The sequence below is a fragment of the Homo sapiens genome, chromosome 2 (genome assembly GCF_000001405.40).
Source record: "Homo sapiens chromosome 2, GRCh38.p14 Primary Assembly".
Classification (NCBI taxonomy): Eukaryota; Metazoa; Chordata; class Mammalia; order Primates; family Hominidae; genus Homo; species Homo sapiens.
In genome coordinates this window covers 73,280,636-73,295,137 of record NC_000002.12, presented here as the reverse complement: position 1 = coordinate 73,295,137, position 14,502 = coordinate 73,280,636, and the positions used below count along the sequence as shown (strand labels likewise).

General features: G+C 51.9%; 2 protein-coding genes and 1 long non-coding RNA gene across 8 annotated transcripts in view, besides 6 other annotated features; 2 read left to right on the top strand and 1 right to left on the bottom strand.

Annotated features, from left to right (window-relative positions):
- Positions 1,228-1,307: a silencer, noted in NCBI's record as "silent region_11644". NCBI's record gives its function as "represses an Ori minimal core promoter by ATAC-STARR-seq in GM12878 lymphoblastoid cells {active_cell/tissue: GM12878}" and the evidence as "EXISTENCE:reporter gene assay evidence [ECO:0000049][PMID:35858748]".
- On the top strand, positions 1,590-4,209 carry EGR4 (early growth response 4). 2 transcript variants are annotated; one of them, XM_047443603.1, is made up of 2 exons: positions 1,590-1,956; positions 2,360-4,209. In XM_047443603.1, the coding sequence occupies exons 1-2, from the start codon at positions 1,821-1,823 to the stop codon at positions 3,679-3,681; spliced, it is 1,458 nt and encodes a 485-aa protein (XP_047299559.1). In that variant the 5' UTR covers positions 1,590-1,820; the 3' UTR covers positions 3,682-4,209. The 2 variants fall into 2 exon arrangements, with proteins under 2 accessions (XP_047299559.1, NP_001956.4); NM_001965.4 differs by having other exon boundaries at positions 2,357-4,209.
- Positions 3,304-3,999: an enhancer, noted in NCBI's record as "H3K27ac-H3K4me1 hESC enhancer chr2:73518267-73518962 (GRCh37/hg19 assembly coordinates)". NCBI's record gives its function as "activates a minimal SCP1, AML or CMV promoter by ChIP-STARR-seq in naive H9 embryonic stem cells {active_cell/tissue: H9 hESC(naive)}" and the evidence as "EXISTENCE:reporter gene assay evidence [ECO:0000049][PMID:30033119]".
- LOC124907840 (uncharacterized) lies at positions 9,019-10,604 on the bottom strand. The gene is made up of 2 exons (XR_007087013.1): positions 10,556-10,604; positions 9,019-9,230 (listed from the first exon to the last, which is right to left on the bottom strand). It is a non-coding gene; the product is annotated as an uncharacterized LOC124907840 (long non-coding RNA).
- Positions 9,634-9,683: a silencer, noted in NCBI's record as "silent region_11643". NCBI's record gives its function as "represses an Ori minimal core promoter by ATAC-STARR-seq in GM12878 lymphoblastoid cells {active_cell/tissue: GM12878}" and the evidence as "EXISTENCE:reporter gene assay evidence [ECO:0000049][PMID:35858748]".
- Positions 9,694-9,873: a silencer, noted in NCBI's record as "silent region_11642". NCBI's record gives its function as "represses an Ori minimal core promoter by ATAC-STARR-seq in GM12878 lymphoblastoid cells {active_cell/tissue: GM12878}" and the evidence as "EXISTENCE:reporter gene assay evidence [ECO:0000049][PMID:35858748]".
- Positions 10,604-11,013: a silencer, noted in NCBI's record as "silent region_11641". NCBI's record gives its function as "represses an Ori minimal core promoter by ATAC-STARR-seq in GM12878 lymphoblastoid cells {active_cell/tissue: GM12878}" and the evidence as "EXISTENCE:reporter gene assay evidence [ECO:0000049][PMID:35858748]".
- Positions 10,660-14,502, top strand: part of FBXO41 (F-box protein 41) — a 29,789-nt gene continuing 25,946 nt past the window's right edge. For 3 of the 5 annotated variants that reach the window (NM_001371389.2, XM_047443458.1, XM_047443459.1), the window contains exon 1: positions 10,660-10,978. The gene's annotated coding sequence lies outside the window, so the exon portion shown is untranslated. Of the gene's footprint in view, positions 10,979-13,972; positions 14,150-14,502 lie in introns of all 5 variants that reach the window. The other 2 variants (XM_047443460.1, NM_001080410.4) reach the window with 1 other exon arrangement.
- Positions 11,034-11,123: a silencer, noted in NCBI's record as "silent region_11640". NCBI's record gives its function as "represses an Ori minimal core promoter by ATAC-STARR-seq in GM12878 lymphoblastoid cells {active_cell/tissue: GM12878}" and the evidence as "EXISTENCE:reporter gene assay evidence [ECO:0000049][PMID:35858748]".

Here is a 14,502-nt window from a genome sequence, read left to right as displayed (position 1 = left end):
TACCCTCCAGCACACAGAGTCTCAGGAATTGATGCTCTTCATAAAGAAGAACATGCTATTCCATGTATTTATTTAATCCTTCCCCCCCATGTATTTATTTAATTTGGTTCCAGAAAGGAGTTAAGTGAGCTATAATACAAAATAAAATAAACATTTTAAAAAGAATGAGAGAATGAGACAGAGGGAAAACCACAGCAGAAGAGAGATGAGACTAGGAGAGTAGGCAAGCTTCTTTGCTGGAGTTGGCTCTGATGCTTCTGCAGCCAAGATTCACAGCCTCCTTAAGGCTAGGATTTTTTTTTTTTTTCTCAAAAGAAGCCCAATTATTTCAAGTACTGATTCCAGGGAGATATTTCCCACGGATTCCCTGTGTGTTGCTGGGATCAACATCCTTAGAGCGAAAGCCATTTGTATGAAGGCAGAAAAAATGTTCTGCAGAAGCATCTCATACCCTGTGGGTGAGGGAGGAGTGAGCAGGAATTGGCCCTACTTTTCTGGAAGACAATTTGCCAGTTGTCTATCAAAATTTTACATATACTTTGGCACACAATTACACTCGTTGGAATTTATCTCACAGACACATTCACATTTATATAGTCAAGGATGTTGACTCCAACAACATTGGTATAAGTAAAAAGTTGGAAACTGCCTACATGCTCATGGATAGGGGACAAATCGACTAACTCAAGGTCCTCCCTTACAATGGAGTACTATACAGCCTTGAAAAAGAATGACAAGATCTTTATGTCAGGACATGGCACAATCTCTAAGTTATTTCAAGTGAAAAAATAATAATAATAATAATATTGCAGAACAATGTGTATGGTTGGATATACATAAAATTCTTCTGAAAGAATACCCAAGAAACTTAAATGTGGCTACCTCAGGAGCTAGGAATGAAGGTAGGTGGAGAGGAGGGACTTTTACTTTTCAATTTAGAATATACCCTGTTGTGCTAGTTGACTTTCCTCCTACTGTTAACAAGTATTACAGTCCTTTTTAATTTAAATTATTTTTCCTAGCACAAATTTAAAAAAAAAAAACTTAAAATGGAAAAACACACAGGCGTGAGCAAAAGAAATGAATGGCAATAATCTCTGTGGTTTACTGAGTGCGCCTGGACATTTATGTGCTCTCAGTTTCTCTCCACAGGAAATGCACAGGTGAGAAACTGACGTTAAGGGGGACTGAGTGTCAAGCTAGTTAGTGGCAGAGGGCAGATTCAAACCCAACACGGTCCTCCCCTGCTGCCCCTCGGCCTCTGCCTCCAGGTGGGAAGCGCATCTACCGGACGGTCGGCCCGGTGAGGCGCAGCGCCCCAGACTGGCGCATCCGCGGCCCCAGCGCTCCACGCCTGGGGAGCGCGCGCGCACGCAGCGGCGCGAGCCTGGCGGCGGCGGCGACAACAACAACGTCACAGCTCGAGCTTTCCTTTTCGGGAGTCCCCGGCACACATCCTGTGTCCATGTTTGGGCATTTACGTCACGGCGGCAGGGCCGGGGCCTCCCAAAATGGCAGTGGCCCGGGGAGTCGGAAGCCCGGAGCCAGCGCCGCCGCAGCTATATAAGTGGGGGGGCTGTGGGCTGGGGGAGCCCGGCAGCGCTTTGGAGAGGCGAGGAGCCGCCGCCCGAGGCCGGTGCGGGCGAGCGAGGGCGCCGCGGCTCCCCGACTCCTTTCCCAGAGGTGAGTGCCCGAAGCCAGGAGCCCGGGCGCCTAGGTCTGTGCGCTGCGGGGAACCCCTACCGCCAGCCTCCCCGCCACCCGCGCGCCCCCAAGCCCAGCGGGCGAGGCCCCGGGCGCCCCACAGCCGGCGCCGCGCCATGCTCCACCTTAGCGAGTTTTCCGAACCCGACGCGCTCCTCGTCAAGTCCACTGAAGGCTGTTGCGCCGAACCCAGCGCTGAATTGCCCCGGCTGCCTGCCAGGGACGCTCCCGCGGCCACCGGCTACCCTGGAGGTAAGGAGGGCGAGCAGGGGTGCTCAGACGACGACGGCGCAGCGCGGGGGCGCACCATACCTGAGAACCAGGAGGGACTGGGACATTGGAGCTATGAGAATAGGGGCGATGGGAAGCTTAGGAGTCCTGGGGTGCGCACCCCCATTCCCACCCACACTGGGCCGCCAGCGCCTCCGCAGGAACCTGTGCGGTTATCGGAGCGCCCTTTTGCCTGTGCACGTGTGTTTTGCGTGTGCATGTTTCTATGTGCTCCTTGGGACGTATGCGGGCCCCTGCTGAATCAGAATGTGCAAAAGGCACTTTGTGTATATCCGTGGGCACCAAGAGTTTTGTAGGTAGGGGCTGTGGACTCAGGTGCACCCTTTGATGTGCCCAGAGCTGATTCCTGCTCCCTCCTCAGCAGGCGACTTCTTGAGCTGGGCTTTGAACAGCTGCGGCGCAAGTGGGGACTTAGCCGACTCCTGCTTCCTGGAGGGGCCTGCGCCCACACCCCCTCCCGGCCTCAGCTACAGCGGTAGCTTCTTCATTCAGGCAGTGCCCGAACACCCGCACGACCCGGAGGCACTCTTCAACCTCATGTCGGGCATCTTAGGCCTGGCACCCTTCCCCGGTCCAGAGGCAGCAGCGTCCAGATCCCCGCTGGATGCCCCTTTTCCTGCGGGGTCCGATGCCTTGCTGCCGGGTCCGCCGGACCTTTACTCCCCGGATCTGGGCGCTGCCCCTTTCCCAGAGGCGTTCTGGGAGGCCTCGCCTTGCGCGGGTGCCCCCTCGCAGTGCCTGTATGAGCCTCAGCTCTCCCCGCCCGACGTCAAGCCCGGCCTCCGGGCGCCTCCCGCCTCGCCAGCGCTGGACGCTGTCTCTGCCTTCAAGGGTCCCTACGCGCCCTGGGAGCTGCTTTCTGTGGGGGCCCCAGGGAACTGTGGGTCACAGGGAGACTACCAGGCCGCCCCGGAGGCTCGTTTTCCCGTAATAGGGACCAAGATTGAGGACTTGCTGTCCATCAGCTGCCCTGCGGAACTGCCGGCCGTCCCAGCCAACAGACTCTATCCCAGCGGGGCCTATGACGCTTTCCCGCTGGCCCCGGGTGACTTAGGGGAGGGGGCTGAGGGCCTCCCTGGGCTCCTGACCCCTCCTAGTGGGGAGGGAGGGAGTAGCGGCGACGGCGGAGAGTTTCTGGCCAGTACGCAGCCTCAGCTTTCCCCGCTGGGCCTTCGCAGCGCCGCCGCGGCGGACTTCCCTAAACCTCTGGTGGCGGACATCCCTGGAAGCAGTGGCGTGGCTGCACCACCCGTGCCGCCGCCGCCGCCCACCCCTTTCCCCCAGGCCAAGGCGCGACGCAAGGGGCGCCGCGGCGGCAAATGCAGCACGCGCTGCTTCTGCCCGCGGCCGCACGCCAAGGCCTTCGCTTGCCCGGTGGAGAGTTGTGTGCGGAGCTTTGCGCGCTCCGACGAGCTCAATCGCCACCTGCGCATCCACACGGGCCACAAACCCTTCCAGTGCCGCATCTGCCTCCGCAACTTCAGCCGCAGCGACCACCTCACCACGCACGTGCGCACCCACACCGGCGAGAAGCCTTTTGCTTGCGACGTGTGCGGCCGCCGCTTCGCGCGCAGCGATGAGAAGAAACGGCACAGCAAGGTGCACCTCAAGCAGAAGGCGCGCGCCGAGGAGCGGCTCAAGGGCCTCGGCTTTTACTCGCTGGGCCTCTCCTTCGCTTCTCTCTGAGCAAGAGATGGGTTTATGGGTTGGGGCGCCGCCGTTCGGCGCGCACGAGTTCCGGGCCGTTCCCCTCCCCGCTCTTCTTCCAACTCCTCCTCGCACGCCCGAGGGCCGGCCTCCGGTCCCGCTTCCAGTTTCCTTGAAGCGCCCGCCGCACACGCCCTATTCAGCACCAGCTCCGCGGACAGTTCCCGCGGTCCAGGCGCTGTCACCCTTGTCAGCCGCGCTTTGGGGGAAGTCTTCTGAGACCACCCAGTGAATAGGCACTACCCTGGGATTCAAGACAGTCTTTTGTAACTGGCACACGCCCCACGCCTTCCTCTATAACCCCCAGAGACAGGCTGGGGCAGCGCCAAGGCGGTCTCGCGCGGGACTTTGTACAGCAGTGTCTTATCCAGCAGCCATTGGATGTAACGTTTTGCTTTGGGTTTTTTTTCCTTTTGTTGTTGTTAATTTTTGTAAAGCAGACGCTACTCTCAAGCAGTTGACAAAACTGTTTATTTTTGCAATTAAAATTATTGTGCTAAAAGCTTACTGAATCTGCCATGTAAGCTCCTGACCCTTCCCCTTAGCTTCTCCCCCAGGACCATATGTGCCAGAAGATAAAGGAGATCCCCACGCTCATGGGATACAGACCCTGAACATATTACACACCCACTGTCAGGCACACCTGCCAGGAACTGCGGCACAGAGTAGGCATTCAGTAAATGTGTGTTGGGTTAATGAACGAATTTAATCACAGCTCACCTAAGGGCTGGAGGTGTTTCTGGAACTTCAAAGTGGTTAAAAGGCGTAGGTGTTCAACATTATGTATATATTATTCTCCTTAATCCTCGCATTCCCAAATAAAGCAGGCATATACCTCATTTCAAAGATGTGGAAGCAATGTAGATAGCTTGCTGGAACAATGTAGTTAACCCAGGCTAGGAACAGACAGGTCAAACAAATCTGTCCAACTTCAAAGCCAACCCTCATTTTCCAACCCCAGAATGGAGACACCTAAACTTAATAGCACTGATTGGAAAGGCTTCCTACCAGAAGGTGAGAAACAGGTTTGGCAGCTAGAGGGAGCTCCAGGCAGTAGCGACAACAGCAAAAGGCTGCAGTATTTTGGTGCTGTTTGTGAAAGCCCAGAGTGTTCAGTGTCACAGAGGCTCCAGACAGTATCTATGCATCTGTTCAAGAGTCACATGATGTCAGGACCCAAAGGGTCTCAGCATTTAGCTAGAGCACACCTGAATATAGCTGGGAGCAGGCACTTGCCAGAGACTGATGGTCACCTTAGTTGCTCTTCCCACAAAAAGGATCTTCTCCAGGTGGCATCAGCCTACTTACCATTCAGCCATGCGCCTGCCACAGCCACTTTTCTCCAGCTGTCCTTCCAAGTGAACTCTTCATGGCTTTGGGATCAGAGGAAGGCTAGGAGGGTGATGAGGAAAGCATGACCTTGTAATGGTGAAGGTGGCCCCTTTTTACTCTTTGAACTCCCCACCCAAAGCTTTTCCACTCTTTCTGGCCACCTTGGGCAGACCTTGGAGCATAAAAAGGCCGCTGTGCTCTCCATCTCTCTGCTCCAATGACCCCTCTCTGATAAGGAAGAAAGAAGGCCTGTGTCTGAGGACTTCATTGTTTTCTCTTCTGAGCTGAGCTGTTCTTGAATTAAGAGACCTTACAGCCCTATGATGCCAGATCAAACCAGCTTCTGATACTCTTGCTGCTTTCTTCACTCCTTCACTCTAAGATATGCTCACCCTCCACCCCACAGTCCAGCTGACCAGAGACAAAATGATCAACTCAGAGAATTCCATCCTTTTCTCTCCCTAGGTTTTAAGTGCTTTCATGTGGCCAAGTATCTTGTATCTAAGAAACTAATTTGTGGTAAAGGATTTAATATTACCTCTTCTAGGAGAATTAACATTTTAGAACAGTAGCCTGCAGAGGGCAATGTTTAACCCAATGAAGAGGCTCAAATTGTGGACTGTCAGGCACTGTGATAAGTGGTAGATTCATGGAGACACAAGATAATCATGACCCTCATTGTCTTACTATTTAAGTCACCACACCTTTCACTTATTAGGCATGGGCCACCTGACTTCACTTTTCATGAAGAGTAGGGCAAGAAAAGCATAATGGCCCATATTTCAAGCAACTGGTCCCAAAACACACAAGCTGAACAAAGGAGGAAACGCAGACAGTGGGTGGCTGGCCTCTGATCACCCCTATCTTGCCCTCTCCAGCAGCATTCCAGCAAGTGCCATCAGCTCTATTATTCTTATCCTCACACCCACCTAGGCCTAACATCACTGATGAGAAAATTGAACCCCAAAGAAGTGACTTAGTAGTAGTCCTGGTACCAGAGCCCAGTCTGGCTCTATAACTCCTAGCTGAGAAGTTCCTGCTATGTCCCAAGGGACACTGCTCCCATTTATTGGAGCTTCCCCTAGGGATTGTGAGGGATGAGAATATTAGACTAGAGATGGAAAGAATTAAAACCAAACAATGTGAAAATCCAAACCCAGGACCCAACCAGAATTGGAGACCAAAGAGCTCATTTTCCTTATTTGCTCCTCTTTTTCAACTGGTCCTCAAAACATGAGTGTTTTCCTGGACCAGTTCTTAGCTCTCTTCTTTCCTATTTCAACACTTTCCTTACAGAGTGCATTCATTGCCAGGCCTTCAGCTATTATTCCTACGTAGATGGCTTCTAAGTCAGACAGCCCCATGGTTCTAATGAATACCCCCATATGGATGTCCCACCACCATTCCAAATACAGTCTGTCTAAAATCAAATCACCCTTCCATATTTCTGGTAATAGCAACATTATTTGATTCCCTGGATTCATCTAAGTAACTACAGCTCTGTGGGATTCACTTTTGCTTCTTCCCACCCCACACATCCAGGCTGTCACTTAGACTTGTTGAATCTTATTGTAATTCTTCAGGGTCTTCTCTACTCTCATTCACGGTACATTGTTCCAGGTTACGTATTATAATCTTTAGCTTGTGAGCTCAACTTCAGTGGGGATTTACTTGGGCAGCAATACTCTGTGGCCTTGGGTGATGGTATGTTTCTCCTGAGCAGTTTCCTGTTTGCTTCTACCAGACACTCCAAGAGTATCACCTGATGGAGACCAATCTTTTGTTAATTTCTTGGTTTGAGGTTCTTGTAACATGCAGATGTTTTGAGTTCAAAGTCCAACTCAAGTAGTTATAAATTCTCAGAGACAGTTCCCACTTCTCTAACCAGGATCCAGGTCAGGACAAACAAGCAATATGCCTCCCTTCCCATACCTTCTGGGGTTAGTCACAGCACATCTCATGCTTATATTTCTTGGTCTCAGTCCCCCTATTTTGGTCCATGTAGATTTTTTTCCCTTTCTTGCAAGCTCAGCCAAGCATTTCAGGAGATGTCTGTTACATTTTATGAAGCAATCCACATATTTTGTAGCAAGAGAGTCTTTGGGCTATCTAGTCAACAATGTTGTTGAAAACTGAAGCCAGATGATATTAATTCTTCTATTAAAATATTTCCCACATTTATCCTCTCTGTGCCTATTGCCAGCACCTTAGTCCATGCCACTCCCTCCATATACACACATACCTTGGCTATGTCAATTTCATAGAATCACATAATAGCGTTGCAGTTGGAAGGAGTTTGTAAGAACATCCTGTCCAGGCCAGGAATGGTGGCTTACGCCTGTAATCCCAGTACTTTGGAAGGCCAAGGCGGGTAGGTGGCTTGAGTCCAGGAGTTCAAGACCAGCCTGGGCAACATGGCAAAACTCTGTCTCTATTTTTTTAAGTATTTTTTTAAAAAGAACATCCTGTCCAAACCCACACTCTATAGAAGAGAATACTGAAGCCCAAGATGTTGGGGATTTTCTGAAGGGCACACAGATAATAAGAGAATGAAATGGGCCTTGAACCTGGGCCTTCCAGTTCCAAGACCAGTGCATATCTAAATATCCACTCACTCCACAGATACTGAGTGCTACTACATGCTGGGCCAGTGATTCCCAACTATTTTACTTCCTGGGGCACCTGAGAAATTCGACACACACATCAGTAACAGAGGCTCACTCAAGTCCTGATTCTCACACCAGAAAGGTGGGAAAAAGTAATACAAATCTTGATGAGGTGGGATATGGGGGGGAAGTTTGAGAAAGCAACCCAGAATGTTTGCTATTTTCTCCCTCTTCACCCCAACTCCTGTACCCTATTTGAGACAAGCCTACACTATGCCAAACTGCGTCCTGTGGTCCCTCTGCCTCCATTATGCCTCTTTCATTCCACATTGCCCAGCATTAATGATGAAAATTTCCTAATACACCATTCACAACAAACAAGAGCTTCATCCCAAACTGACCAAGGTTTCCACCCTCCTATAAAAACAATACCTATTTTTCACCCTTGCTGTGAAAGCCCTCTATATCTGATCCAAATTCACCTTCCAACCTCCTCTGTCATCTCTCCCTTTGTGCTTTGCTCTGCCACCTCCCTTCCCCCACCAGTTATCCAAATGCTCCCACCTTTGAGCACCTTCAAGGGCAGAAACCTCATTTGATCCACATGTGTGGTCCCCATATCACCAAGTCTAACATGAAAGTGCTTAATTATTGTGTCAATTAGTTGAACAACAACAACAAAAAAAACCCAAAAGGAGAAGGGAAACAGAAAGGGGAAGGAGGAGGGAAGGAAGGTGGTTGGAGAGCATGAAGCTGGCAAAGAGAGAGGGAGGAGAAAGGATCAGGAGGGAAAGATGGGAAAAAGCAGGACTGAGGACCGAGTCTGCAGCAAGGGGCCCTGATAGGCACCATAGGCCTCATGAGTGGGTCTACACCTCTGGCTAGTCTGGGTCTTTCCAGCTCTTGCTGAGCCCACAATTCTTTGCCTCAGCTCTGGGACCCCAGAGGTGTCTCCGTCACTGAGCTCTCTCTCTCTTTTGGTTTCTCTGGTTCACATGGAGTGGGATTCAGTTTAACATTTTTAGAACTGTGGTTCCCATAACAACCAAGCAGGAACTGTTGTCTGTGAAATGTAGCATGGGCACACAGGCGCACAAATACACATGCATACATTCACAGACATATGCGCACACACATGCACACAGGTGCAAATACACATGCATGAACTCTTACCCACACATACATGCATGTGCTCACAGATACACACATGCACCTATGTACACTTGCATATGCACAAGTGTACACCTGCATACACACACACATCCACACACTCATGCACACATGCACAAAAGCACCCACATACATAGCCATGCATGTCCCAAATTGTTTTGACACATTCACAGGATGCACAGAGTGAGGAGAAACATCACAACAAAGGTGAAACCAAGACAATATATGGACATTTTTGGCCATCTGCAAGAGCAGATGGATTTGGGGAATCTGCATTTTGACATGTGAAGGTCCAGTGGACTGTATTATAGCAGAGAAGGCAGGAGGGCACTGTGGTTGAGCATAGACTTTGGAGTTTGATGACTTGAGTTCAAGTCTTGACTATGCCATGTGTTGAGCTCTGAATTTTAGCGTCTTCATCTGCAAAGTAGGGATAATAATAATATTAGGAAGAGCAAATGATATGCATAAAAATTATTAGCATGATGCTTGGTGCCTGGTTAATAGGAGCTGTTATCGTTTGGGTATTAGGAAAAGTGATTTCTCATTTGTCCAATCTCAGAAGACCTCCGCGAGGAGGAAAGAAATTCAGGAGCTACAGAGAGGAAGAGAAGATCGAGAGAGGGGGAATTCAACCTGATTGGCCACTGTACAGCCTCTGTCCTTATTAAGTTTGCCATTCCCCCAAAGCCACTGACAAGTTTACAAATTATCCTTCCTGATACTGAATGTCCCAATGCCTCTGCCTTCACAGGAATGGGATGGGGGTCAAAGAGAATTCCCATGAGCCCGAGTTACTGGAATCCTGGGACTAAGTTGGGTTTCTGCTCTCCTGCAACCAGATTGCCCCTCAAGGCACATGTGCACAGCCCTACCCAAGCACCACCCTCAGGCTGAAATAACACTTCCCCCTCAAGGCACATGTGCACAGCCCTACCCAAGCACCACCCTCAGGCTGAAATAACACTTCCCCCTTTTCTCATCCAAGCCTCAGCTCTGCTCTGGCCTTGGTTGCCTCCAAACCCTGTGTGGTTTCTCAGCCCCACTGCAGCCCTGTGGACTTCCTCCAAGCGTACGACAGCCAGATTGTTTCTGCCTCACCAGCTTGGTAGGCCTTAGGCCAAAGGTGGGGCCGTCTAGGTGCTCCAGTCCCAAGAAGCCTGGCTGCTATCTTAGCCAAATGGTGGGAGTGGGTAGGAGGGAACCAGGGACCTGGAGGCCTTTTCCTCCTCCTCTAGGTCCGGGATGGGATTTGTGATGGGTACACGTGTTCCTAGGCGGCTCTTTAAGAGCAGAATTGGGTCTCCGGATGGGGTCCAGCAGCAGTTCCGCGGGTTCCCTAGGAATGCCCAGAGGGGATCATCCCAGGCGGTCTCCGCGGAGACCAAGCATCTGACCCGAGGTCGCCGAGTGCACGACCCAGGCGCGCTGCCCATGAGGCCGCTTAGGGACCGTGGCGCATGTCTCAGGAGTAGCGCCTGCGCCCGCCCCCTTCCGGATTCACAGAACCACCCACCCCCGGATTTGCCCCCGCGTGGAAGCAGGCCCAAGCCAGAGTGCTAGGGTTAGGGCGGAGAGGCCCTGATTCAAGGTGGGCAACAGAAGCCACAGCTGGAGGTGCCCAGGGCGGGGAATGCACTGGGCGGTGCCGGGAGCCGGGAAGACTGGGACCCGGGAGGAGCGCGGCGCGAGCCATCCCTACACCCCTAGGGCGGCGCCGAAGACCCCTCCCCCATCGAAACCACCTTGAGCGGAAAACGTGGGGTCCCGGCGCAGCCGCTGCTGGGCGCATCTGCCGCTCCCCAGCTCACTGGAGAGCCCGCCCCGGAGGAGGGGCCGGCTCCGCCCCACCTCGGTGCTGCCTCCCTCCCCCTTCCCTTGCTTTCCTCGGCCCGCGCGCCCCCTCCTCCCCCTCCTCCTCCTCCTCCTCCTCCATCCTTCCTCCCGCCGGGTTCGTGCGCCCCTCCCGCTGCGACTGGCTGGGAGGTTCGGCCGCCCCCGCCCCGAGAGGGAGGCGGGGGCGCTAGCCGCGGCGGCCACCCAAGGCTGCGGAGGGGAACGAGATCCGAGGCCCCAAGGCGGCCCTGCGTCTGGACCGGGCACGCGGGGGCTCTTCTGCGTCCCCAGCCCTGGGCCGCTGGGCCTGGCCTCGCCGCGGGGTGGAGGAGGTAAGGGCGAGTCGCGGGCACGCTGCGGGACTGCTCCCGGAGAGGGAAGGAGGGAGGACCCCAGCCACTGTCCCTTCTTCCCCTTCCGGCTCCTTCACAGCCCTCCGGAGGCCCGCGAGGCCGCCCAACGGGGAGGGATTCTGGGCAGGCCAGACCAGAGGCAGGGAAGGGGTTAATTTAAGAAATTAAAATCAGAACGTTTCGAGACCAGGCTTCCCCTCCCCCCTCTCGCCTGTCGCTCCCTGAGCCAGGTTTTGGGGCGGGGGCGGGCTCCAGAACCCCACTGGGACTCTGGACCTTGGAGAACAGGGGCCAGAGGGAGGGGGGAGGGGAAGCGCCCTGAAACCCCAACCCTCCCTACCGGTTTCTGAGGGGCTGGGGGAGGGGCCTGGTGTTGAGGCCTGGCTGGGCACCTGTGCGGGTGTCTGTGCGTGCCGGTGTGCACGTGTGATAGTCTGGAGGTGTGCATGTGTGTGCACGCATGTGTCTGTCTCTTCACATCCAGTGCCTGTACTGGTGACAGTGCTCACAGTGTCTCTGAATGTGTGCGCCCCTCCGCATTGCCTTGCATGTGAGTGTGTGTGACACGGGGCCTGTGTGCACTGCCCACAGTCGGCCAGCGAGTACTGTGTGGGCCTGCTCTCTCCTTAGGTCTCTCTGCAGCGAGGGGCCCAGATGGTTTTCTGGGTATGGGATCCAGGTTCTGGAGCCTGTGTGTGACCTTGGGAGGTGTATGCCTGTTTGCAGGAGCAGGAGAGTAAGGCAGGGCTTAGAACAGAAAAAGCAGTGCCAGGGCTGCTAGAAGGCAGAGGACTGGATGCATTGACCCCTGAGGGTCTTCGCCAGGCTGGAGTGACTACTCTGGGAGGTATACATGTTGGGGCCACAGCCACAGGTGTGGAGAGCCAGAGCCCCAGCCTTCTTGGGGGACTCAGAGGGATTTATAGAGGCAGTGGACATTCCTTTACTCCCCACCCACAGGGGCCTAATAGGGGTATAATGGGGACAACTCCGGCTGCCTCCCCCATCCTTAGGATACCTCCACCTGCTGGCAGATGCCTCCTAAAAGTACCGAGCTTAGAGCTTCATTTCTTTGGCTTGTAAATCCATCTGTTAACATCCAAACCTTCCTTCCCCATTTCTGTAATTTCCACCTTCTCAGCCCCTTTTCTGCATGTGGATTTTATATGGAAAGAGAGGGAAAGAACTGTTGGGCCCTGAAGGCCAAGTGGGATGAAGAGAGAAGATGCCATGAATGTGATGGGGAGGTGGGGACCGGGAGGCAGGGCCACCAGAAAACAAACTCTATTACCTTCTCAATTTTGCCTGATCTGAATTTAACAGAGAAAGAGACAGACACAGAGAGGGAGTTTGGTGATATCCACACAGTTGTTTCTAGATTTAGGAATGCCTAAATGGCTTCATTTTTGTTTTTGTTTTGGAATATTTGTTTGTTTTAGACAGGCTCTTGCTCTGTCACGAAGGCTGGAGTGCGGTGGAGTGATCATGGCTCACTGCAGCCTTGACCTTCCGGGCCCAAGCAATCCTCCCACCTCAGTCTCCCAAGCAGCTGGGACCACAGGCATATGCCACCACACCTGCCTAATTTTTTTTCTTTTGGTAGAGACAGGGTCTCCCTATGTTGCCCAGTCTGGTCTCAAACTCCTGGGCTCAAGTCCTCCTGCCTCAGCCTCCTGAAGTGCTGGGATTATAGCCACTGTGCACAGCCTTGTTTTGGAATATTTGTAATGGGAAGGGGGTGATGGTTGTTGAAAAGTAATTACCATCCTGCCTTTGAATTCCCTAGATCTCTTTACCTCTCTAGTGGCCTATCATACCCTTTATCCATTCATTTAACAAATATTAGGCCAGGCACGGTGGCTCACGCCTGTAATCCCAGCACTTTGGGATGCTGAGGTGGGTGGATCACCTGAGGTCAGGAGTTCGAGACCAGCCTGACCAACATGGAGAAACCCCATCTCTACTAAAAATACAAAAACTAGCCAGTGTGGTGGTGCATGCCTGTAATCCCAGCTACTTAGGAGACTGAGGCAGGAGAATTGCTTGAACTTGTGAGGCAGAGGTTGGGGTGAGCCAAGATCATGCCACTGCACTCCAGCCTGGACAACAAGAGCAAAACTCCATCTCAAAAAAAAGAAATTTATTGCATGCTACCATGGGCCAACCTGTGTGTATTACACTGTTAGTATGATGTTCCACTCTCAATCAGAAGGAACACAATGTGGAGACCAAGGGCATGAGCTTTGGTAGTCAGGTAGTACTGGGTTCAAATCCTAGTTTATCATGGTTTTAGTTATTCATTAGGTTGTAACAGACCACCCCAGAATTTCTGGATTTAAAACAACAGCGATTTATTATTCCTTCATGGTCTGTGGGTCAGCTGTGACTGTGTCTGTGGCTGTGGGCCCTGCTGGTCTCACGTAGACTCTCACACAGCTGCATTATGTTGAGAGCCTAACAGGAGAGGGACATCAAAATAGCCTCTCATTCTTCAGGGTCTTAATACACATGGCATCTAATCATTTGCTAGTCTAGCCCAAGTTTCTTATGTGGCAGCTGGATCCCAAGAGGGAGTATTCCAAGAGGACAAGTCCTAAGTTACTGCTGATGGAGCCTCTGCCTGCATCAGGCTTGCAAATGTCCAGTTGGCCAAAGCAAGTCACATGGCCAATCCCTGAGTCAGTGTGGGAGGAGAGCACATAAGGACAGGAATACTGGGAGGCATGTCTCATTGGGAACCACCAAAGCAACAGTCCATTACAGGCCTTCCTTGGGCAAGTGATTTGGACACTGAGCCTCAGTTTCCTCATCCTAGTATGGAAGCAGTACCACCTACTTGGCAGCATTGTTGTGAGGACCAAGTGAATAGCATGATGTCTGACCAGAATCATTAGTAGATAAGTATTCACTGTTTTGATTGTTAAACTACAGGCACCCTAATGGCACAACTCTCATTCATTTATGTGTACCCAGTGCCTAACATGGGCCTTGTGCTGGACATCGTTTGCTGGGTGGATAAAATGGAATGAAGCAGACAAGCCCTAAGCCTAAGAGCTCAGCTAGAGCAAAGCTGCAGCATTGAGAAGACACAGCAAGCTCTTACCTCCCAGTAGGTGACCAGCAGAACCAGGAAGCCACCTGTTATTCAAGGTGATTCTTGGATTTACTTAATTGTAACCAGTTCATCCAGTTCCATGATAACAAGTGGTGGAAATTGCTTTGGTTACATGAAGTCAATCAATTTCTCCATTATTCAGTGTGATTCCTCTAACAACATACTGATATCTACTGTGTGTTAGGATGAATCAGTTGTATTGTCTCTGCTTCCAGTGTATGTGTTAGGAGGTATTTGATGTGCAAACATGTCCATGATTATCAGTATGTGATGTCTGCTACCACATCCTTGAAGAGGTGCAGTAAGGAGTGATTCATGCAGTGATGTGATTTGAGCTGTAGAGGGAGAGGTCAAGGAAGGCTTGATGGAAAAGGTAGCATTTGAGCTG

Coding starts and splice junctions, on each gene's coding strand:
- EGR4 (NM_001965.4), top strand. CDS start 1,821: ATGCTCCACCTTAGCGAGTTTTCCGAACCCGACGCGCTCCTCGTCAAG. Junction 1,957..2,356: donor GGCCACCGGCTACCCTGGAG/GTAAGGAGGGCG, acceptor CTCCCTCCTCAG/CAGGCGACTTCTTGAGCTGG.